This window comes from Homo sapiens, chromosome 22 (genome assembly GCF_000001405.40).
Source record: "Homo sapiens chromosome 22, GRCh38.p14 Primary Assembly".
Taxonomy (NCBI): domain Eukaryota; kingdom Metazoa; phylum Chordata; class Mammalia; order Primates; family Hominidae; genus Homo; species Homo sapiens.
The window spans coordinates 23,305,718-23,329,064 of NC_000022.11; the positions used below are offsets into that span (position 1 = coordinate 23,305,718).

General features: G+C 52.0%; 1 protein-coding gene, 1 long non-coding RNA gene and 2 pseudogenes across 3 annotated transcripts in view, besides 5 other annotated features; 2 read left to right on the top strand and 2 right to left on the bottom strand.

The window, feature by feature from the left end:
* Positions 1-12,320, top strand: part of BCR (BCR activator of RhoGEF and GTPase) — a 137,529-nt gene extending 125,209 nt beyond the window's left edge. For both annotated transcript variants that reach the window (NM_004327.4, NM_021574.3), the window contains 7 exons: positions 3,707-3,766; positions 4,607-4,716; positions 5,980-6,119; positions 7,170-7,304; positions 8,251-8,356; positions 8,835-8,997; positions 9,716-12,320. In NM_004327.4, coding sequence (NP_004318.3) covers positions 3,707-3,766; positions 4,607-4,716; positions 5,980-6,119; positions 7,170-7,304; positions 8,251-8,356; positions 8,835-8,997; positions 9,716-9,805 — 804 coding nt within the window. In that variant the 3' untranslated portion in view covers positions 9,806-12,320. The remainder of the gene's footprint in view (positions 1-3,706; positions 3,767-4,606; positions 4,717-5,979; positions 6,120-7,169; positions 7,305-8,250; positions 8,357-8,834; positions 8,998-9,715) is intronic.
* Positions 4,678-4,696: a mitotic recombination region, noted in NCBI's record as "BCR-ABL p225 breakpoint cluster region, recombines with the ABL p225 breakpoint recombination sub-region within the ABL breakpoint recombination region, producing the e18a2 transcript". NCBI's record gives the evidence for it as "EXISTENCE:nucleotide sequencing assay evidence [ECO:0000219][PMID:26252834, PMID:17268511]".
* POM121L11P (POM121 transmembrane nucleoporin like 11, pseudogene) lies at positions 6,238-12,757 on the bottom strand (annotated as a pseudogene).
* Positions 6,771-7,163: a mitotic recombination region, noted in NCBI's record as "BCR-ABL micro-breakpoint cluster region recombines with the ABL micro-breakpoint recombination sub-region within the ABL breakpoint recombination region, producing the e19a2 transcript". NCBI's record gives the evidence for it as "EXISTENCE:nucleotide sequencing assay evidence [ECO:0000219][PMID:15843824]".
* Positions 8,267-8,768: an enhancer, noted in NCBI's record as "H3K4me1 hESC enhancer chr22:23656171-23656672 (GRCh37/hg19 assembly coordinates)". NCBI's record gives its function as "activates a minimal SCP1, AML or CMV promoter by ChIP-STARR-seq in naive H9 embryonic stem cells {active_cell/tissue: H9 hESC(naive)}" and the evidence as "EXISTENCE:reporter gene assay evidence [ECO:0000049][PMID:30033119]".
* Positions 9,905-10,199: an enhancer, noted in NCBI's record as "tiled region #15419; HepG2 Activating non-DNase unmatched - State 12:CtcfO". NCBI's record gives its function as "activates a minimal TATA promoter and a strong SV40 promoter by Sharpr-MPRA in HepG2 cells {active_cell/tissue: HepG2}" and the evidence as "EXISTENCE:reporter gene assay evidence [ECO:0000049][PMID:27701403]".
* Positions 9,950-10,069: a silencer, noted in NCBI's record as "silent region_13539". NCBI's record gives its function as "represses an Ori minimal core promoter by ATAC-STARR-seq in GM12878 lymphoblastoid cells {active_cell/tissue: GM12878}" and the evidence as "EXISTENCE:reporter gene assay evidence [ECO:0000049][PMID:35858748]".
* RPS10P30 (ribosomal protein S10 pseudogene 30) lies at positions 16,768-17,211 on the bottom strand (annotated as a pseudogene).
* On the top strand, positions 20,899-22,776 carry LINC02556 (long intergenic non-protein coding RNA 2556). The gene is made up of 2 exons (NR_149133.1): positions 20,899-21,074; positions 22,607-22,776. It is a non-coding gene; the product is annotated as a long intergenic non-protein coding RNA 2556 (long non-coding RNA).
* Positions 22,777-23,347: the final 571 nt, after the last annotated feature.

Here is a 23,347-nt window from a genome sequence, read left to right on the forward strand (position 1 = left end):
CAGTCCAGGGGGAGAGGAGCAGCAACCTGGTCCATCCTCCTGAGACCACTGCATGTGAGCAGACAGACCCCTGCCTGCCCAGTCCCCGGCCAGGCAGCAGGCATGTTCCTCACCAAGACCTTGCAACCCAGGGGGACCCTGGACAGCATCCGGAGTGCCTCGGTTTTTCCCTTAAGGGAAAACTGTTTCCCCCTTGGTCATCTGTTTTTCCAAACCCCAGTCTTTTGCTTGTTTACTTCTCTGGTGCTTTAAATAACTGCACGAGAGAGCGTACCAGCCTTGAGCAATGTTTGGGATTGGCTGAGCTGAGGCACAGGCCTCATTATCATGCTATTCTTTATACGGCTTCCGCTCTGCGGCGCACACTCTGTTCTTTGGAACAGAGCCAGCCTTGGGACAGCCTTTCCCACTGGAGCTGCCAGTCAGGACCGCCGTGAGAGCCAGTGCCTGGAGGCCAACACCCTGGTCTTCAGTCACTGGGAGTCACAGAGAGGGGCCCGATAAAGAGCCCTCCTGGCAGCATCAGTACCAGGTTGGAGTGGGCGCTGGACACCACCAATGCTGGGGAGTGGACGCTGGCTGGAGCCCCACCCAGGGCTGCACATTGCTCAGCCAGCTAGCTCTGGGGGAGCAGGACCTGAGCAGGGTGTCCTCCACCCTGGGTCCATCAGAGGCACTGCATTTGATTATTGGGGTTACCTGCTGGGAGTGGTGCAGATTTTGGACAGTCTGGATTGCTTCCAGCACAAGGCAGGCTGACCAGTCATACTTTACTCAGTCTCCAAACTTGGGCAACAGGAAACTAGCCACTTGAGAAGGAAGCTCAGCTTTTCTGGGCTTTAGAGGAGATGGAGACACGTTGGAAATTCCCGTAACCAATAGGCTGGGGTGGGAGGGTGTTCTTCCCACACACACACAAAAAAGTGGAACCCGGAGGTGATGGGAAGCTTTGACCTTGGCCAGCCAGACTGCGGGGTGGGGTTTCCCTCAAAGCCTGGTCAAAAGGCCTTGGAGGCTGGAAGCTCTCGTTTAGCCCCACCAGCTTCCCAGAGCAGCAAGGCCAAGCATGCAAGAGTCACCATCCACCCTGGCCATGATGCAGGGCCTCCTTTGGTACTTCCACCCCAGCCGGGCGGGCCGGAGCCGGGCGGCCTCTGCTGAAAAGCACCTGTGGGCCGTGGTTCCAGGGGGGCTTTGAGGGGCAGCCGCTGATGTCTGGACAGCTTCTCTTTCTGTCTCTTCTTACCTGGACTCTGGGTTGCTTGTTAGCTGCTTCTGCCTGTTCTGGGTTTTCAAGGGGAGAGGGGCCCAGTGATGGCTGTTCTTTGAAGGAAAGGTAAGAATGTCTCCTGCTTAACATGTTTCTGTGTTTCCAGTTACTTGGTTGGTTAGTAGAGCCAGGGTCTCTCGCTTTGTTGCGCAGGCTGGAGTGCAATGGCATGATCATGGCTCACAGCAGTCTCCACCTTCTAGCCTCAAGTGTTGCCCCCACCTCAGCCTCCCGAGCAGTTGGGACTGCAGGCACATGCCACCATGCTTGGCTAATGCTTTTGAAAATTTTTTTTTTATAGAGACAGGGTCTCACTATATTGCCCAGGCTGGTCTTAAACTCATGGGCTCAAGTGATCCTCCTGCCTCGGCCTTTCAAAGTGCTGATATCACAGGCAGGGTTTCCATTTTTTAAAGCTCCCAGCAGTGGTATAAACTCCTCCTTTCCAGAGAAAGCGCACTCTGTCCGCATCCCTCATGTTGTCCTCTCCTGCCTCTGCTTAGGGTTCACTCCGGGGGAAAGTGCCACTTGAGAGTTTCCTTTTTATGTGTGGTTCTGACTGACCGCTCCCTGCTCACAGATGCTGCTTCTCAGGGTGGGGTCCCTGAGGCCTGGAGTGTGGCCTCTGACGACCTTCAGGGCCAGGTGCGGAATGAGAGCCTGTGGCCGCATGGCCCCCGGTGGGAGACGTCCCGCCGCCCTTTGCTTCTCTGTGCCACTCTGGCTGCACAGTTCAGAGCCTTGGGAAACGTTAACCAGTAGGACCTAGAAGGGGAGGTGAGAAGGGGTCAACCCCCAGGTGTGCCTGTGGTGAGCCTTCGTGCTGAGCAGGTGCAGGGAGGGAGGCCCAGGTGCACACACCTGTGAAGTAGGGGGGCAGCTGGCTGGGCTCCTTGACCTGCTCCAGAGCTTCTTATTTTCTGGCCACTTCACCTGCAGAAGGCCCAGGTGGCTGTAGCCGCTAGGGTCCCTTGCAGTGGAAATGATGCCTGTCCTCAGCCCCTCTCTAGGCCTGGCACTGTGCTCAGCACCGTCGTGTGTGTGTATGTATATGTGCACGCATGTGAATGTGTGCAGACATCATGAGGTGTGGTCCCTGCTGTTAGGCAGCTTGCCTTGTGGCTGAAGTGAACCATCACCTGAATCAAGGGATGGAAACACAAGGCCAGATGCAGTGGCCTTCTATGGAGTCAGACGGTGGCTCCGTGACCTGGCTTCACTCCAGAACTACCTGGGGTTTCTAGCTGTGTAAATCCCAGGTCCCACTCAGATTATGAGTCAGTTCTCTGCAGGTGGAACCCAGGGAGGTGTTTTTTTTGTTTTTGCTTTTATTTTTGAGACGAAGTCTTGCTGTGTCGCCCAGGCTGGAGTGCAGTGGCGCCATCTTGGCTCACTGCAACCTCCACCTCCTGAGTTCACACCATTCTCCTGCCTCAGCCTCCCAAGTAGCTGGGACTACAGACGCCCACCACCACGCCCAGCTAATTTGTTGTATTTTTAGTAGGGACAGGGTTTCACCATGTTAGCCAGGATGGTCTCAACCTCCCGACCTCGTGATCCGCCCACCTCAGCCTCTCAAAGTGCTGGGATTACAGGCGTGAGCCACCGCACCTGGCCAGGGAGGTGTATTTTTAACAAGATGGTACTGCTCATTCACCCAGCCCAGCCAGTGATCTTGGCATACCCAGGAACCGCTGACATAGAACGTGCTCCCCATAAAACGGGAGACAGAGGCTTCACGGATGGGGGACATGTGGCTTGGTCATGACAGGGTGTTACATACCAGGACAGACTGTGTTCGGGTGACATTAAGGACAAGCTCCTGCAGGCTAGCTGTCTGGATAGTGCCGGGTGGGGGTAGAAGTTAGAGGGGTCACAGAGGGGCTTCCTCCCGGCCCCCTCATCAGCTGCTTGATTTAGGGCTTGTTTCTGGGTCCTTCTGGGCCTGATTCTGAACCATGGGACTGGTGTGGCCTGCAGGCTCCTCCCGCCACAAGCTGTTCATGGTGCAGGGGGAGAACAGTGTCCACAATTCCCCAGACAGCAGCTGTGGATGCCAGGCCCCCAGGAGTTGTTACTGAAGTTGCTGCTGGACAGCTCACCTTTCACTGAGCTCCACATAGCACCCGTGGTGATGGAAGCCGGATGGAGAGAGCCTGCCAGCCTGCACATCAGCTCCCAACTGGGCGGGGCAGAGGGAGGAGGGGGTGGGGACCCCAGGCAGCAGGGCTCTGGGAGCAGTGGGGCCCTGGGTTCCAGGGGTGTCTGGCAGGCCCCTCCTTACTCTACCTCTGTTGGCCTCTGGATGGAGGTGCTGGCCGCAGTCGGGCTCTGCCTCTGACTAAGGGTTGGGGAAGTGGCGGGTGTGGGCTGCTGCCCCGTGGGGCCTCTGAACAGACCCCAGGGCCTCTGCCAATCATGACTCCTTCCTTTCAGCTGGACCCGCAGGCCCTGCAGGACAGAGACTGGCAGCGCACCGTCATCGCCATGAATGGGGTACGTGTCCGTGGGACTCTCCTGGTGCCCACTTCCCCCAGAAGGATAGGGTGGCCTCTGTTCATTTCAAATCAGTCAGAGGTGGCTGAGCCTGAGGCAGCATCTGAGAGGGAGCCTGGTTGGAGAAGGGAGGGCCCCCAAGAGCAGAATCACCATGCACGGGAATCGTCATTCATTGGCTGGAATGCAGTTGCCAGCCAGGCCCTGAGCATCCCTCCTCAAACAAAGGTCTCATGGCACCACCAGGACAGGTGGGGCCTCCACTCAGGGACCTGGGGGCTGCCCATAGAAATGGAGACCCCTGATTTGTCTTTAGGTACCCCAGAAAGGTTTAGACCTTAAAAGCAATGACACACCCAAAAAGGCCCGGGTATAAATGGTAAAATGTTAATATTTGAGATTCTTGGCTTTTTCTTACATTATTCTGTCTTTCCTACTTAATTTTTAATTGTTACTAAGAAAGAGAAAGCCAGGCACAGTGCACCTATAGTCTCAGCTACTCTGGAGTCTGAGGCAGGAGAATCACTGGAACCCAAGAGTTCGATTACAGCCTGGGCAACATTGCAAGCTCCTATATCTAAAAAAAAGCAAGCAAGCAAGAGAAGCAGCGGGGATTTTAGGAGGTGCTTCTGCAGAAACCAGTCGTTTACATCATCTTCAACAATCCTGGCTCTTGCTGAAGTAGACTAGGGGCTTCCCCGAGGGGCGGCTCCACCTCATGCTGAGACCTCTGCATGCCTTGGGGGTGGAAATATTTGATGAGACTCCCAGGGGTCCTTGGGACCTTGGGCTATGAGGACCAGAAGGATTAGAGGACTGTGCCCCTTCTCCCTACTGTAGATCGAAGTAAAGCTCTCGGTCAAGTTCAACAGCAGGGAGTTCAGCTTGAAGAGGATGCCGTCCCGAAAACAGACAGGGGTCTTCGGAGTCAAGATTGCTGTGGTCACCAAGTGAGTGGGGAGGGGCTTGGGCTCACGCACTGAGGGTGCCTGTCCCTTCAGCTGTTTCTGCAGAAAAGAGCATGTGTGGGTCTCTCCTCTCTGTGCGTGGCCACTGCACGGTGAGGTCAGGCCCCAGGGAACACGGCGTCTTCAGCTACCTCCTGTGTTTCCTGCAAACCAGCTCAGGAATGTCCTTGCCACCTGGCTTGGAAGCAGTAGGCTGGCTCCAGGAACTGCCCAAGTGCAGGGTTTTCTGCCCTTGCTTGGAATTTATCACGGTCCCAGATTCCTGTTGAATGGCCGTAACCCCTGCCCCTTTGTCACGAGTCAGTTGCCAAGAGAAGCCTGTTTGGTTTGAGAGCAGTTCATGCAGACATAGACCACTTCCTCTGAGAATTCATTTGCTTCCCCAGGATGGAATCTGGCTGGGCCTCTGACCTTGCTGGTCACGTGGGCCGGGGCCTCCATCAGTCATACCCTGGACTCCTATCTGTGTCTAAACACCACGCCCCACCCCCAACTGCACGGCAGCCACTCGCATAGCACTCTGGGAGGGCTGTGGGCATGAGCAGCGAGGACTCCATCAGCAGCTCCCCCAGATAAGCCCTGCTAATGAGGGGGCTTGCGAAGCAGCTTTGATGTGCTGGTAAATCCAGGTGCAAAACAGAACTCAAGTTAAGGCCTCCGCACAGCACTGCGTTCTAACTGTGAAGGATTCTTACTCTAGTGTCCTGTGTGGAGGTATTGGAATTGTCCATTGCTAAGACTCAGAGGAGAAAAGCACTTAGCATCGCAGGACTTGGAGCACCGGTGCTGAGGCAACCCTTCATTCATTCGTCGGATGTGTGTTAAGGCCCAGGCCCAGGGCAGGGGTCAGGGATTCTCCTCTCACACAGCACGTGGGTGGCAGGACCAACACCGGGTCTGACCTCCCAGCCGGGGGTACAGGCTGCTAACCCCAGGCCTGGAATCTGTCAGATGCCCTTCCCGTGCTGACTTGACATAGACAGGCCTCCTGACCTTCCCGCAAAGGTCATGTGTGATTCGCAGGGGTTCTGGCCGCTTGAAAGGTTCCTGAGAAAGTACATGCCATGAGGACAGAGCTTGCAGAGGGAGGACAGGCATGCAGAAGGCTCTGTGTGCAGCCCCAGACCTGGGTACCTTCGTCACCGTCCTCACCCCACCTCCGGGTGTGCAGATATGGAGCAGGTCTCCTGTGTTATGGCCCAAGCAGGGCTGTTAGGACACTGAGAACATTCCCTCCTCCCGCAGGAGAGAGAGGTCCAAGGTGCCCTACATCGTGCGCCAGTGCGTGGAGGAGATCGAGCGCCGAGGCATGGAGGAGGTGGGCATCTACCGCGTGTCCGGTGTGGCCACGGACATCCAGGCACTGAAGGCAGCCTTCGACGTCAGTGAGTGTTGGCCTGCGCAGGACGGGATGGAGGTGTGGGCAATGGTGTCCGCGATGAGATCTCAGAGTGCTCCATGGCCCAGGCATGTCACATCCTTCTCTGTGTCTTTTCTTCATTTACTGTGTTATTATTTTTAAAAAAGAGAAGACAAGAGTTGTAGAAAAAGCCTCTGTAGAAACCAGTTTTTAAACCATCCTAGCCATGCATGCCACTTGCTGGGGTAGGCCAGGGGTTTCTGCAGGGCCTTGGCCTTCCTGCCTTGGGGTTGGACAGGAGGTGGAAGCCCAGGACTCAGTGCAGTCTGTCCCCTGCCATGTGTGAGGATGCGGCAGGCAGAGGGCACTGATGAAATTCAGCCCAGGCTGGGGCTGCAGCATCTCTGCCTCCATCTCACCAACCCTCACAGGCTATGAAGGACCTGGAACTGTCACAAATGCCAGGGGAGGGCACTGAGACCCCAGAGGGTCCCTCCCAGCATCTTCAACAGGATTTTGTGCCTGCAGACCCTTCTTTGGGGCACACACCACCAACCCTGACCAGGACCCCTAGAATGCCCAGCATCCCTGGGAGGGCCCTGTGGTAGTTTCAGCTCCCTCTGGGGGCCCAGAATGAACCTGGCCTGTGGTGAGGATGTAAGCACCAATGGCCAATTGGGTCCAAAGGAAGACACCGGTTCAAACACTGAAACCAATCAGATTCTCCCACGGCCTTCCTGCTATCAGACGACACTGGTGCAGGGGTGGTTGCTATGTACAGGGCAGAGCCACCCAATCCCCACGCAGGCGCTGTGTCCTGCCACGCTGGCCTCCTCCTGGCCATCACATCAGGCCAAGCAGGGGAGAGGAATGGGAATGCCCACGCACCCCTATCAACTCTGCAGACACAGAACCATGCACAGCTCTTGGGAGGAGTCAGATGAGCTGCTCAAAGCCCAGGAGGGACCCGCACAGTGGTCAGCATGGCAGGGACAGTGCTTTAGCCAAGGCAGGGATGGTGGGAGACTCACTCGGGATCCTCAAGGAGGCCGCTGCATTTCCGTGCTCTTTCCAGATAACAAGGACGTGTCGGTGATGATGAGCGAGATGGACGTGAACGCCATCGCAGGCACGCTGAAGCTGTACTTCCGTGAGCTGCCCGAGCCCCTCTTCACTGACGAGTTCTACCCCAACTTCGCAGAGGGCATCGGTGAGCACTGGAGGCCTTGGCCTCATGGGAGACGTCTCCTCCACGTGCACTGCTGCCCTTGGAGGCTGTGAAAAGTGAGGTGTGGGAACCCAAGCTGTGCCCCCTCTGCCATGGTCGGCATTTTAACCCAACCTCAAAAAGCAGGGGACCAGAACCGAGCCTGTCCTGGAAGGCCTTGCCCATCCCTAGAGGGCTCCCTGTCCCTACTCCTCAAGGAGACCAAGAGGCTGAAATAGTCAGCACTGCTGTGCTGTGGGGTCCTAAAGTCTGCTGTCCTCCTTCCTGCAGACCAGGGCTGAAGGAGGGTGCCTGGGTGCTCTTGCCATGGGTCCTGGTCCAGCCAAGCATGGTTTCAAACATGACCTGACCCTTAGTCAACCTGGAGGCTGATGTCTAGAGTGGGTGCTGGTGTGTGCAGTACCTGTGGCCTCTGCATCACCCTTAGGGCAGGTCTGCCTCCCGGGCCCATGCACAGAGGACCTGGTCTCCCAGCCTGCAGGTGCCCCTGTGGTGTCCAGGACGACGAGGGGGTCTCTGCGTACTTGGTGGGGCTGGGACCCTCCCACTTCCCACCTCCTTGTGTTCCTCACTCCCCTGTTTCATTCCATGCTGAGCCTCCCCTGCCTTGGGCTCCTCTGGGGAGGGGGTGGTGGCAGGAGTTGTCCAAGGGCAGCTCTGCCCATGAGCAGCTGCTCTAGCGGCTCCTCCTGCTGCTGTTTGCCGGGTGCTGCTGACCCCTGCGAGGTAGAGAAAAGGCGTTCAGGTGGTTCACACCCCACACAGGTGCCCCTCACAGGGTCCTCAATGGGGGCCAGAGCTGTGAGACTGAGGATGATGACGAGCCTGGGCTGTGCAGGGACACAAGCCCCAGGTGCTCCATGTGAACACCTCGGGAGAGGTCTCTGGCTCGTTGTGACCCCAAGGAGTAACCCACCGCCTTCTGCAGCTCTTTCAGACCCGGTTGCAAAGGAGAGCTGCATGCTCAACCTGCTGCTGTCCCTGCCGGAGGCCAACCTGCTCACCTTCCTTTTCCTTCTGGACCACCTGAAAAGGTAGCCCAGCTCTCCCATGGCAGCCCAGGGCTCCAGGTCCCCAGGCCGCAGAGTGCCCCTCTGCTCCCACTAGACCCCCAACACCGAGGACCTTTTCTCCTGACCCTTGTCTGCAGTCACTCACTGCCTTTGGCGACTAGTGCCACTGCCACCCCTGCCCCAGCCTCTCTTCTTTGCCACCCTCCTCTCTCTGCACTGTGGCCTTAAAAAAGAGCTCAGAGCTTTGGCCGTGGCCAGCAGTGCACTTGGACCCCCCTCTTCCCTCCGAGTCACATCAAGTAGGAGACCTCCCCACCAGCCCAGAGCTGGCTCCTTGTCCTGGGCCACTGAGACCCAGAAGTACCAGGGCTGGAGTCAGCTTGCAGCACAGCCAGGGTCGAGGTCACTCCCTTCCTGAGAACTCCAGCACAGCCCAGCCCCTCTGCCTCTCTCCTGGGGGTGGCGTTGAAACAGCACCCGCTGCTTTGGTCCTCTACAGGGTGGCAGAGAAGGAGGCAGTCAATAAGATGTCCCTGCACAACCTCGCCACGGTCTTTGGCCCCACGCTGCTCCGGCCCTCCGAGAAGGAGAGCAAGCTCCCTGCCAACCCCAGCCAGCCTATCACCATGACTGACAGCTGGTCCTTGGAGGTCATGTCCCAGGTATGGGAAGACAGGCTCCAGCCCATGCAACCCTGACCTGACAGAGGTGGCCTCTGCCTGCCCCACCCCCAGTCCTGCCCATCTTCTTACTTGCATTGTATGTGGTGTGGCCAACATTCACAGAGAGGGACTTGCCTAGGTCTGCATGGATGGGAGTGATAGTGGGGGCCCAGGCCACCTCCTGGTCCTGCTAGTGCACTTTGCTGGAAGCTTAAAACTACCTCAAGTGTTCGGGTGTGGTGGCTCATGCCTGTAATCCCAGCACTTTGGGAGGCCAAGGCAGGATAACCAATCCCAGGTGTTTGAAACCAGTCTGGGCAATGTGGCAAACCCCATCTCTAGAAAAAATAAAAAGAAAAATTAGCCAGGCATTGTGGCACACATCTGTAATCCTAGGTATCTGGGAGGCTGACACAGGAGGATTTCTTGAGCCCAGGAGTTAGAGGCTGCAGTGATCCATGATGGAGCCACTGTACTCCAGCCTGGGGGACAGAGCAAGGCCCTGTGCATCTCTAAAATAAATAACCACCCCCCACCCAACAAGTCATGCCTTGTCAGGACCCCACCCCACCCCCATCTCACTGTAAGGGGTTCATGACACCAGCAGGGGTCCCCAGCACCTGAGATGGACTTGGAGGCTTGGGCCCCAAAGACCTCCCACCAGCAGCTGTGAGCCCCGCTCTGAGCCACTCTTCTCTTCCCTACTCTGCCCGGGCAGGTCCAGGTGCTGCTGTACTTCCTGCAGCTGGAGGCCATCCCTGCCCCGGACAGCAAGAGACAGAGCATCCTGTTCTCCACCGAAGTCTAAAGGTCCCAGTCCATCTCCTGGAGGCGGACAGATGGCCTGGAAACCTCTGGCTAATCGGGCCATCCGTAGAGCGGGAACCTTCCTGAGGTGTCCTTGGGCCACCCCCAAGTGTTGGGCCATCTGCCAAGAGACAGCGACCCAAAGCCGAAGGACAGGTGGCCTGGAAAGATCCCGCCCAGGTCTGGGAGCCCCAGGCTGGCCTCAGACTGTGGTTTTTTATGTGGCCACCTGAGGGCGCCCCAAGCCAGTTCATCTCGGAGTCCAGGCCTGGCCCTGGGAGACAGGGTGAAGGGAGTGGTTTTTATGAACTTAACTTAGAGTCTAAAAGATTTCTACTGGATCACTTGTCAAGATGCGCCCTCTCTGGGGAGAAGGGAACGTGACTGGATTCCCTCACTGTTGTATCTTGAATAAACGCTGCTGCTTCATCCTGTGGGGGCCGTGGCCCTGTCCCTGTGTGGGTGGGGCCTCTTCCATTTCCCTGACTTAGAAACCACACTCCACTTCTAACAGGGTTTGAGAGGCTTAGTCAGCACTGGGTAGCGTTTTGACTCCATTCTTGGCTTTCTTTTTCTTTCCAGAAGGATTTTTGTGCAGAAATGGGTCTTTTGTTGCCATGTTAGTCCTCCTTGGAAGGCAGCTCAGAAGGCCTGTGAAATGTCAGGGGACAGGACCCCCAGGGAGGGAACCCCAGGCTACGCACTTTAGGGTTCGTTCTCCAGGGAGAGCGACCTCGTCCCCCGATCCTGACCGCCCTTCCGGCCCACGCTCTCCTGTTTGGCTTCCACAGGCCTGGACTTCTCTGGCTTCTCTGCCCACACACTCCCTGCCCCCAGTGTCCCTGCCCCTGCCCCAGCACAGGTGACTTCATTTCTGTCCTCTCAGCTCAGTGGACTCGCTCAACTTTTGTATAAGTCTCCACTTGGTGGCAGCAGCTTGCTGATGACTTGTTTTAAAACTTTCATCCTAAATAACCTTTTGATACTTGAATATTTGTAAGTTTTATACATAGTTTCTAATTTTTTTCCGAACAGATCCAGATACCTAATAAGATGCTGGAATGTAATCCCTGGACAATCCGTGTCCTGGCAGCATTTGGTCTTCCTCTAAGCGCCTGGCTCCGCTGTTCTCAGGAGTGGGTTCTGAAGTCTCTGGAGAACAGGATACGTGGAGGGTTAGGAAGGGGCCAGGCCTAGAGACGGGAGACTCCCTCCCGGAGCAGGTGGAGGCACAGGACCATTCGCTACCCCATCTGCCGACACCTGCGGGGGAGCCCAGGCATTCTTTGTAAACCCTCCTGACCACCTGGCTCAAAGAAAACAGAAGCATGGAGACCGCCAAGTATTTTCAAGAAATAACCCCATGAATATTCCATCACTTTTTTAGAAAGAGGGGCTTGGGGCAGGCAGAGGAGAGAAGGGAGAGCAAACTGAGAGCCAAGTTTCCACACGGTCCTGCAGGAGGAGAGGATGCAGCTGCCCAGAGGGAAGCAGGATCACATTTAAGGAAGTGTGTGGGGTCCCTGGATGACACCAGCACCCAGTGCGGCTCTGTCTGGCACCCGCTCCCAAGGTGGGAGGAGTGGGTGTCCCCTGTGTGTCAGTGGGCAGCTCCTGCTGAACCCGCAGCTCACTAGGGAGCCTGACAGTGGGGCCATGCGCCTGACACTCCTCTCTGCTTGTGGACCTGGCAAGGCAGGGAGCAGAAAACAGCCACTTGAAGGCTTTCTGTCTGCGTCTGTGTGCAGTGTGGATTTAGTTGTGCTTTTTTCTTGCTGGGAGAGCACAGCCACCATTTACAAGCAGTGTCACCGTCGTGGGTGGCGAGGACAGAACAGGAGCCTCTGCTCTCTGTACCTATCTGGGCCCGGTGGGCTCCCTTGTCCTGGCTTCCATCTCTGTCTCAGCGACCATTCAGCCCTGCGCAGGAACACGTGTTGCTTAGAAAAGCCAAATCCAGCCTTGTCTCTGCCTCCTCTGGTCTCATGATGTGCATCTGTTACCTTGAAACTGGAAACCAGTCTATCAATGTCTGTGCCAATTTTTTATTCCCTCCCCAACCTCCTTCCCCATACGACTTTTTATTTATGTAGGATGTGTGCTGTCTAATGATGGGATGACCACACTTTTCCATGTTCTAAAAGTGCTCCTCTCCCGCAGGGTCCCAGGGCTGGTGGTTGCTTTGGGTCTACAGCTACGTCTTACCCACCTCCTGCCTCAACAGCCTGTGTGGTGGCAAAGCCGGTGTGGGGCTGGGGAACGCAGCGTTCTCCAGGAGGGGGACCTGGCTCTCCTTCTGCAATGCAGGCGAAGGCCTAGATGCCAGTGTGACCTCCCACAAGGCGTGGCTTCCAGACTCCCCGGCCGGAAGTGATGCTTTTTTGCCTTGGGCCCTGGGTTTGAAGCAGCCTGGCTTTCTCTTGGTAAGTGGCTGGTGTCTTAGCAGCTGCAATCTGAGCTCAGCCACCTACACACCACCGTGGCCGACACTTTCATTAAAAAGTTTCCTGAGACGACTTGCGTGCATGTTGACTTCATGATCAGCGCCGCTGGGAAGAACCCCTGAGCCGGTGGGGTGGGGCTGGAAGCAGCAGGTGCAGTGATAGGGCTGGGTGCCCAGGAGGCCTCAGTGCTCAATCAGGCCAAGGTGGCCAAGCCCAGGCTGCAGGGAAGGCCGGCCTGGGGGGTGTGGGTGAGCACAGGCAGGCACCAGCTGGGCAGTGTTAGGATGCTGGAGCAGCATCCGTAACCCCACTGAGTGGGGTAGTCTGGTTGGGGCAGGGACCGCTGTTGCTTTGGCAGAGAGAGATGATCCCCACTGGGGAGAGGCTGTTCTGACTCTGCAGGTGGGACAGGGACAGATGGCCACCAGGGTGACCCGGCTGGTCTTCCTTTGCTATGCTAAGCCCTGGGACATGGAGGATTCCTGCCACCCTGGGCCCGGGTTCTTACCTGTGGCCACCGCTCTGGCACGAGCCCCTCAGTCTTGGGTGGTTTCTGCCTGGTCCGGGATTTGGTGTTGCTGCTGAGTCCAGCCTTTCCACCACCTCCGCATGGGCCGTGGGTGTTGTCAGCTGCCTCCCGCCTTGGCTTCAGTAGCTCACCCAGCTTACAGGGGAGCTGCCCTGGGCTGGAGATGGGCATGCACCCTGGGTCCTACTTGAATGAATGCAGCTTGAGGAGAGCCGGCCATATACACTGGGCCACAGGTTACCCTCGGCAATGCCCACAGCTGTCAGCCTGAGCCTCCCCAGGAGAGCAAGGCTCACACGACAAAGGCTGCCCGTGGCCAGTGAGGTGGCTGAGCCCAGCCAGGACCTTTCTCGGACTCCCGGGATGTGGCTCTGCTCGTGAGCTGCCTGGTCAGCTCTCTCGGGGTGAGAGGGGCTTGTCACACGGGCGCCTGCCTGCAGTGTGACCCTTCTCAGCTTCTCTCAGCAGCCCTGCCTGCGGAGTGTCACCGCCACCATGATCATTTCCCTGACACTGCGAGGGTGGGGGGACGTCCTGGGTAGAGACAGGGCCCGTGGCAGCAGCAGGCTCAGGGGAGCCCTGCACTGGTGGACTGGGGACCTGGTGGAGACCACGCCAAGGGCTGGACAAGGGGACGAGCCTCCACCCTGGCCTCTCCGCAGGCCTCAGCAGCCCCTCCCACAGGCAGAAGGGTTGACACTGGGTTCTGCCCTCACTGCAAGAGCTGCAAGTGCCACGTGCTGTTCTGCCCAATCTGGTGTCTGCAGGTGAGGAAAGGACTGCCGCTGGCCCGTTTCTGAGTGTTCAGCACCTAAGGGTGACAGCACTGTCTGTCCCTACCCTCCGGGTCCTGTTTGAAGATCAAACCCATGCTCACAGGCCGATATTTTTTTCTTTTAGAGACAGGGTCTCACTTTGTCACCCAAGCTGGAGTGCAGTGGTGCGATTATAGCTCAATGCAGCCTCCAATTCCCGGACACAAGGGACCTTCCTGCCTCAGCCTGCCAAGTAGCTTGGACTATAGCTGTGTGTTTTCTTATTATTTTGTAGACATGGGGTCTGGCTATGTTGTCCAGGCTATTCTCAAAATTCCCAGCCTCAAGCAATCCTCCCGCCTCAGCCTCTCAAAGGTTGGGATTACAGGTGTGAGGCAAGGCACCCAGCTCAGCCACAGAGCCCTATTGCATCTCTCTTACTAAGAGCAAGAGCTGACTTCCCCCTCATCCCCATTCCAGAGTGTTGGGGCTGTGTTCAGCCGAGGCCAGGCCACTGGCATGGGCCCAGGGAGCGGGATCATTCACTGCTGCCCCAAATCTGAGATCATTCCACCTTGACAAGACTTCCTCATCCAATCCCTTTACTTGACAGCTGGGGAAACCAGTGCACACAGAGCACCCCCAGCTCAGTCAGGGTCTCAGAGCTGATCCATGAGCGGAGGCTGAGATCCTGGGATCTTGTCCCCCAGCCTCCCTGCAAGCTTACTCCCTTTCTTCTAGAAGAGATGGGGCCAGACCTCGACCAGCAGCCCTGGCCTGGACATGACTGTGCTCATGCAGGTATTGAGGCTGAGATGCCCCGGCATCACATTTTTTTCTTTCTTTTTTTCTTTTTTTTTTGAGACGGTGTCTCACTCTGTCACCCAAGCTGGAGTGCAGTGGAATGATATTGGCTCACTGCAACCTCTGCCTCCCGGTTAAAGTGATTCTCCTGCCTCAGCCTTCCAAGTAGCTGGGCCTACAGGCTTGTACCACCACGCCTGACTAATTTTTGTATTTTTACTAGAGACGGGGTTTCCTCATGTTGGCCAGGCTCGTGTCGAACTCCTGACCTCAGGTGATCCACCTGCCTTGGCCTCCCAAAGTGCTAGGATTACAGGCATGAGCCATGGCATCACTTAAACGTAGTGAGAGGCCGGGCGCAGTGGCTCATGCCTGTAATCCCAGTACTTTGAGAGGACGAGGCTGTCAGATCACCTAAGGTCAGGAGTTCGAGACCAGCCTGGCCAACATGGTGAAACCGTGTCTCTACAAAAAAACAGAAAAAAATATCCCTGCGTGGTGGTGAGTACCTGTAGTCCCAGTTACTCAGGAGGCTGAGGCATGAGAATCGCTTAAACCTCGGAGGCGGAGGCTGCAGTGAGCTGAGATGGCGCCACTGCACTCCAGCCTGGGTGACAGAGCAAGACTTTGTCTCTAAATAATTAAATAAATAAATACGGCCGAGCATGTGCCTTAGGCCTGTAATCCCAACACTTTGGGAGGCTGAGGCAGGTGGTTCATGAGGTCAGGAGCCCGAGACGAGCCTGGCCAAGATGGTGAAACACTGTCTCTACTAAAAATACAAAAATTAGCCAGCTGTGGTGGCAGGCACCTGTAATCCCAGCTACTTGGGACACTGAGGCAGGAGAATCGCTTGAACCTGGAAGGCAGAGGGTGCAGTGAGCCAAGATTACACCACTGCACTCTAGCCTGGGCGATGGAGCAAGACTCCATCTCAAATAAATAAATTAATAAATACAGAGCAAGATTCCATCTCAAATAAATAAATGTACACCTGTAATCCTAGCACTTTGGGAGGCTAAGACAGGTCGATCACCTGAGGTCAGGAGTTCGAGACCAGCCTGACCAATATGGCAAAACTCCATCTCTACTAAAAATACAAAAATTAGCCGGGCGTTTTGACGTTTGCCTGTAGTCCCAGCTACTCGGGAGCCTGAGGCGGGAGAATCACTTGAACCTGGGAGGCGGAGGTTGCAGTGAGCCAAGATGGGGTGACTGCAGTCTAGCCTGGACAACAGAGAAACTCCGGCTCAAAAGAAAAATATAACTTCATAAAAACGAAGTAGGAAGAAACAGAAAACCTTGTCTAGATCTAGAACCATTAAAGGAATTGAATGTTTATTTTAAAATCTGTATCCCATCCAGTCAAAAATCTCACAAAAAACAAAACCAAAGAAAAGCACCTGGCCCAGATGATTTTATAGATAAGTTCAGCAAACATTAAGAAGAACAGAAAGTCTTTATCTTCTACAGAATTTTTTTAAAATAATTTATTTATTTATTTATTTTTGAGAGGAAGTCTCGCTCTGTAGCCCAGACTGGAGTGCAGTGGCATGATCTCTGCTCACCGCAAACTCCGCCTCCCAGGTTCAAGCGGTTCTCCTCCCTCAGCCTCCACAGTAGCTAGGATTACAGGTGTGCCTGGCTAATCTTTTGTATTTTTAGTAGAGACGGGGTTTCACCATGTTAGCCAGGGTGTTCTCGGACACCTGACCTCAGGTAATCCACCTGCCTCGGCCTCCCAATGTGCTAGGATTACAAGCACGACCCACAGTGCGCGGCCTACATAATTTTTTTTTTTTTTTTTGAGACGGAGTCTCGCTCTGTCGTCCAGGCTGGAGTGCAGTGGCGCGATCTCGGCTCACTGCAAGCTCCGCCTCCCGAGTTCAGGCCATTCTGCTGCCTCAGCCTCCCGAGTAGCTGAGACTACAGGCGCCCGCCACCACACCTGGCTAATTTTTTGTATTTTCAGTAGAGACGGGGTTTCACCGTGTTAGCCAGGGTGGTCTCGACCCCTGTCCTCGTGATTCGCCCGCCTTGGCCTCCCAAAGTGCTGGGATTACAGACATAAGCCACCACACACGACCCCGGCCTACATAACCTTACAGAAAAAGAAGCAAATGGAATTCTCCCCAACTCATTGTGAATTTAATATAAGCTTAAAACCAAACCAGACATAAATAGTACAAGCAGGCAAAAGTATAGACTAACTTCTTATGGACATATATGCAAAAATGCTAAATAAAATATTAGCAAATAATCCAGCAATGGATTAAACATGTATCATGACCAAGTTGGGGTTTTCCTAGGAAACTAAGATGATGTAATAAAAGAAAAAACTATTAAAGTAGTACAAACTATCAAAGGAAAAAACCTGTATGATCATTGCAACGGGTTCATTTGCGACATAATATAATTTTTTTCTTTTTTTTTAAGTCTTTTTGGCTGTAAGTTTATTCAATGCAAAATAATCTTCTCCAATTTTACTGAGGTGGCTGACGGCGTCCACGACCAAATCTGCCTCTAAACTGGAATTCGGTTGCTGACCCAGCCGCAGCCTCGGCTTTCTTGTTGGCACCAGGGGGCATAGCATTCCCTCTGTAGGTATCTCTGTCGGCTTCCCCTCTCGTTGAGTCTTGCAGGTCGCTCACCCTCCAGACCTTTAGACTGAGGCCTGCCAGTCCATGGACGGCTGCGGCGTAGGGTGGCAGGCACAATCTCCAGGGGCAGATGAAGGTAATCACGGAGATACTGGATATCCTCATTGGTAAGGTACCAGCAGACATGACTCCAGGCAAACTGTTCCTTCATGTAGTAGCCTCGGGACTTGAAAGACTGCATGGCCTTCATGACATGAAGGTTGGGCACATTCTTCCTTTTTTTTTTTTTTTTTTTGAGACGAGTCTCACTCTGTCGCCCAGGCTGGAGTGCAGGGCCATGATCTCGTCTCACTGCAACCTCCGCCCCCTGGGTTCAAGCGATTCTCCTGCCTCAGCCTCCTGACTAGCTGGGGTTACAGGGAACAGTGTTTTCTTTTGTCAAAAGAGCCTCTTAAGCCATTGATAATATTTCCCAAGCTTGTAACAGATACAAGCCTTTAAAGAATGACATTTGCAGTCACCCAGTAGGACATATCTTGAGATGAAATCAGAGTTGTGGGCTTTGCAGACAACAGCAGTCATTTCTGGTGGCTTCCGGGAGTGGAGGGGGACTGCAGCTTTGGCAATGTAGGTGATACCAAAAGGACTATAGTAATTTTTTCTTAGTAATTAAAAACTAGGCTGGGCGCGGTGGCTCATGCCTGTAATCCTGGCACTTTGGGAGGCCAGGGTGGGTGGATCACCTGAAGTCAGGAGTTTGAGACCAGCCTGACCGACATGGTAAAATCCTGTCTCTACTAAAAATACAAAAATTAGCTGGGCATATTGGCGCGTGCCTGTAATCCCAGCTACTGAGGTGGGTGAGGCAGGAGAATTGCTTGAACCCGGGAGGCAGAGGTTGCAGTGAGCCAAGATCGTGCCACTGTACTCCATCCTGGGTGACAGAGCAAGACTCCATCTCAAAAAAACAAAACAAAAACCAGACATAACAAGGTCGAGCTCAGTGGCTCCCGCCTGTAATCTCAGTAGTTTGGGAGGCCGAGAAGGGCAGATCACCTGAGGTCAGGAGTTCAATAACAACATGGTGAAACCCGGTCTCTACAAAAAATATAAAAATTAGCCAGGCATGGTGGCACACGCTTGTGATCCCAGAGGCTCGGGAGGCCAAGGCAGGAGAATCACTTAGGAGGCGGAGGGTGCAGTGAACTGAGGTCTTGCCACTGCACTCCAGCCTGGGCGACAGAATGAGACTCCGTCTCAAAAAAGAAAAAAAAATCCCCAGCCATAACAATATACATGTATGTTATACAATAACCAAACCAATATAGAAGGGTATATAGTGAAAGGAGAAGTATTGTTGTGGGTAAAATTGTTTCTATGAATAAATGGCTGATCCAGTATTTTTTTCCTCCAAAAAAACACCTTTTCCCCTTTGATTTAGTGTATACCACACAGAGTCGCTTAGCCGATTCAGTGACTTTTTTGATAGCTGGAGAATGCTTCCTAATGGTTGCAGGTGTGTAGGGGTTTTCTTGACATTTTCAGTAAGAAAGTGAATGTTGTGCCATAGGAAAGCTTTATCACAGGTGCACGTTGGTAGCCAACCAAATAACGTGAGTGTCAAGTACAGTATCTAGTGAGTGGAGAATAACTGTAATAATTACAATTACAGTTGTAGTTAAAGTGAAGTTTGTATCAAAATTTCTGTTTCAAAGGTGAACTTTTAGGGGGTGTATCTGCAGTGTTTCCTCCTCAGATGTGATTTCTCTGAAGCAGTGGTTCTCTATAACTGACTTGACACACAGTGCATCTGATATTTCGAATGACTTAAGTGATAGTATCAAAATTACTATCATATACATATTTAAATCACATGACTAACTTGTGTGTGGTATTATGCAAACTGCTCAGCTCAGTAAGGGAACAGAAATAAGAAAAAAAAAGGACAATATTGGGAGTCTTTTATACAATTAAATTTGTTCGATTAAAGGACTATCCTTTCTAAAAAAAAAAAAAAAAAGTCCTGCTTTCTTGGTGTTAAAATAAAGCATCTTTTATGAAATGATGGTGATAGTAAATGGTGATATACAGTAAATGTAAATAATAGCAAATACAAGGTTAGTTATCTTATTGTGATTTGTAAAAATAAAGAGAGCCGAGAATCTCGTTTTGCTGCTATTGTTTGGGAGTTCAGGAAAAAGTTCCTGGGGCTTTTGTTGTTAAGAAGATTCAAATACAAATTATTTCTTAAGAGTAAATATGAGTTTATTTTGAGGTCATTTGTCACAGTCTACTGAGAAATCCACTGAGAAAGCTTTTAAGTTTGCCTGGTATTAAAGATGTTCCTATTCTGATCATTGTTAAATAGATCTTTTCTTATTAGATATAAAATGTCAGGAGATATTTTATTTTGAGACAGAGTTTCGCTCTTGTTGCCCAGGCTGGAGTCTAATGGCATGATCTCGGCTCACCGCAACCTCTGCCTCCCAGGTTCAAGCGATTCTCCTGCCTCAGCCTCCCAGGTAGCTGGATTACAGGCATGTGCCACCACTCCTGGCTAATTCTGTATTTTTAGTAGAGACAGTGTTTCTCCATGTTGGTCAGGATGGTCTGGAACTCCCGACCTCAGATGATCCGCCCGCCTCAACCCCCAAAGTGCTGGGATTACAGGCACAAACCCCCTCACTCGGCCCCAGGAGATTTTTTTGTGTTGTGCCAACAAAATAAGCCTAGGCAGGGAAATTCCTTCTGGTGGTTGGAATTGTTAGTACTGAATAGACTAGCTGCGAGGTAAAAACCCCCATGGGGTTTTCTGTCAGCTCAGATATCATTGTGACCCCAGTCTTTTGCTGTGAAATAACATGACCATTAAGAAAGTAGCCTTAAACAACGTATTTTGGGTATGTTGAGGAGGAGGGACAATTATGATCTGTTCCAAAGTGAACATAACAGATGATCCCTGTGTCTGTGAAGCCTTTAAAATTTATAGTGCTCTTCTTCTGTTAATTTCAAGTAAGATTTAGTTATTGTGACATACTCTTTAAAAACCTGCGGTGTATCAAAAGGCTCATTTTTAAAGCATCTTGAAAGGAAATTAATAATGTAATATCTACTTCAGAATAGTAGTTTTTACATTCTGAAGAGTGACTGACTGCTCTCAGCCACTTCTGAATTCTCAATTTTCAAAGGATAATTTGGTAACTCCATAAAGAAAATCCGTAAATAAGAGAGTGAATATCTTCTTTTTGTTTGTTTGTTTTTGAGATGGAGTCTCCCTCTGTCGCCCAGGCTGGATTCCAGTGGCCTGATCTCGGCTCACCGCAAGCTCCGCCTACCGGGTTCACGCCATTCTCCTGCCTCAGCCTCTGGAGTAGTTGGGACTACAGGCGCCCGCCACCACACCCTGCTAATTTTTTGTATTTTTAGTAGAGACGGGGTTTGACCGTGTTAGCCAGGATGGTCTCGATCTCCTGACCTCGTGATCAGCCCGCCTCGGCCTACCAAAGTGCCGGGATTTAAGGCGTGAGCCACAGCGCCCGGCCCCGAGAGTGAATATCTTTTAACAGTGTTTTTCCTGATCTTTTCCAACATCTTCATTGTGGTTCTGTCCTTTATTTTTTGGTTAAATCCAGAGGTTTACTTCTGCCTGTATCTTTCCAAACTATTAATCTGTTCACAATCACTCTCCCATTTAAACCCTTCAGCAACCCCAGTACCTTCGTAATAAGGTCTCCTTAGCTTGGTATCCAGAACACTTCAATACTGGGCTTTGACCCCTGTTCTCCTTCCCCCACCTCTGTTTAGGTGCTTCACTGAGCTGCACCGAACAGCTCTTGGCCCCTTGAAATCTCTGCAGTCTCCTTGTCTCCCTCTGCTGGAATATTCTTCTCTCACTTCATCTGATCATTGCCTTCAAAACTCAGCTCATTTTCTTATTTCCTTGCCCTTTCCATGTCCCTTGTTTTCCTCTGATTAAATTAATGTTCCAAACTCAAAAGAAAAACAACTCAGCTCAGGCATCACCTTTCCTGGAAGGCTTCCCTAGTCCTCCTGCCTCCCGCAGACTTGTCTGGCACCCTGTGCATTTGGGATTTGGCACACTATGTCTCGTCTGCGGCCTCCACTGGACGATGAGACCGTAAGTGTGTGGCTTGACGGAAAGTTGTTGACTCTGCTGGGGTGCTGGTACAGTGCTGGGCACGGCAGTGTTACAGAGGAAGTGAGCCACTTAGTTTCTGCCCTTAGGAGCTTTTCTTCTAGTTGCAGTTGACCCTGCCAGCTGTGAGACACCTCCCAGTAGTGCGTACCAACTTTCAAAGTCTGTTTAATTGTATCTTAGTGTCTGATTCCAATTTTATTTCTTGAAGGAGGGGAGTGTCTCTAATGTCTTATTTTGGCACCCAGAGACCAGGTAGGCATCATTTTTGTCCCAAATTGTGGAAGGAATGTACATTTGGCACAGATTACTTCCCTTTTTTCTCTTGTACACCTTTCACCTTTTTTGTTTTTGTCTTTTTTTTTTTTTTTTTGAGTTTGATGTGTTTGGACAGTAAGGGTTTACGAGATTAAGATTAAATTTCAACTTTGTCTATTGTGCATATAGCCTAAGGAAAACAAAAAGTTAAAGAGGAAAAATACATTGCCTCTAAGAAGAAGACTCATTATTCAACTTTTTTTATTTTTAATTGTTTTCAGAGACTGGGTCTCACCCTATCACCCAGGCTGGAGAGGTGATCACAGCTCACCGTAGCCTTGAACTCCTGGGTTCAAGGGTTCCTCTTGCCTTAGTCTTCTCACTAGCTGAGACTGCAGGCCCGCACCAGCACACCTGGCTAATTTTACAAAAATTGTTTTTGAGAGACGTGGTCTTGCCATCTTGCCTAGGCTGGTGTGGACCTCCTGGGTTCAAGCAAACCTCCCACCTTGGCCACCCTAAGTGTTGGGATTACAGGCATGACCCATTGTGCCCAGCCTAAACTTTTTTTTTTTTTTTTTAATGCTGAGCTGTACACAGAAGAAAGTAAAGGTATTGGTCAATCCTAGGAAAGAAGTATGCAAAGAAACTGGTGGCAGGCTGGATATGGGCATATTTCAGGGCTTTGGAAGGTGAAGAGGAGAGGATTGCTTGAGGCTGAGAGTTCGAGACCAGCCTGGGCAACATAACGAGACCCTGTCTGTACAGATAAACATTTTATAATTAGCCAGGTGTATGTACCCTAGAACTTAAAGTATAATAAAATAAAATAAAATAAAATTCACCAGGTGTGGTGGTGCACAACTGTAGTCTCTGCTACTCGAGAGGCTGAGGCAGGGGGATCTCCTGAGTCCAGGTGTTTGAGGCTGCAGTGAGCCAGGATCACACCACTGTTCTCCAGCCTGGGCTACAAAGCGAGACTCTGTCTCTAAAGAAAAACATACTGGTGGCATTGTCAAGATTTGTCAAGAAATAGCCATTATGCTGGGCCCAGTGGTGTGCACCTGTAGTGCCAGCTTTTCAGGAGGCTGAAGTGGGAGAATCTCTTGAGCCTAGGAGTTTGAGTTCAGCTTGGGCAGCATTGCAAGAGCCCAGTCTCAAAAATATTAGGTCAATAAGATTTATTTTAATTAAACAAGAAAAAGAAATATCTGCTAAAATTTAAAGCTATTCTATTCTTCCTCTCTCTCTTCTAGTGTTCTTGGGGAAGATCCCGACTAAGCCATTTTCCAGTGGCACCTCTTCCACCATGAGTTCCTGAGGCAGTCCGATGGGGCTACTTTATTCCAGAACAATCACAGTGAGACCTCTTCTCCCGATAAATGCCCCTTTTCTCTCCTTAATATATTATCTTGCTTACAAAACACTGGTGTCTCCTTATCATTGTTTGGTTCTATCCCACTGGGACCAAGAATTCTTGCCCAGGAGCAACTGAATTTTCTTCTTGCTTGCTTTTTAAAACTTTGGTGGGGTAGAGCCAATTTTAAATCTTCTGATCCATTTTTTCATTGTTTTTCTCGCCCTTCTGCATTTTCTGCAAATTCCGTTGAATCATTGCAGTTACTTAGGTTTGCTTCGTCTCCCCCATTACAAACTACTTGCTGGAGTTTTCAACCCTAGTTCCCTCATTTTTATGATTTATGCTCATTTCTTTGTACACATCATCTTGCTCCATCTCCCAACTCATGGCCTCTGGCCCTGGATTATTGTTTTAGTCTTTTATTTTTTTGTCTTCTTCTACCTCAACACTTATCTTCCTCTCCCAGTCTCCTGTACCCTATCACCAAGGTTGTCATTAACCTTTCATATTATTCCTCATTATCCATGTATTCATTTGCAAATAAGCGTATATTAACAAAATCACAGGTTTATGGAGATATAATTCACATACCTTAAAATTCAGGCTTTTAAAGTGTACCTTTCATGTGGTTTTTGGT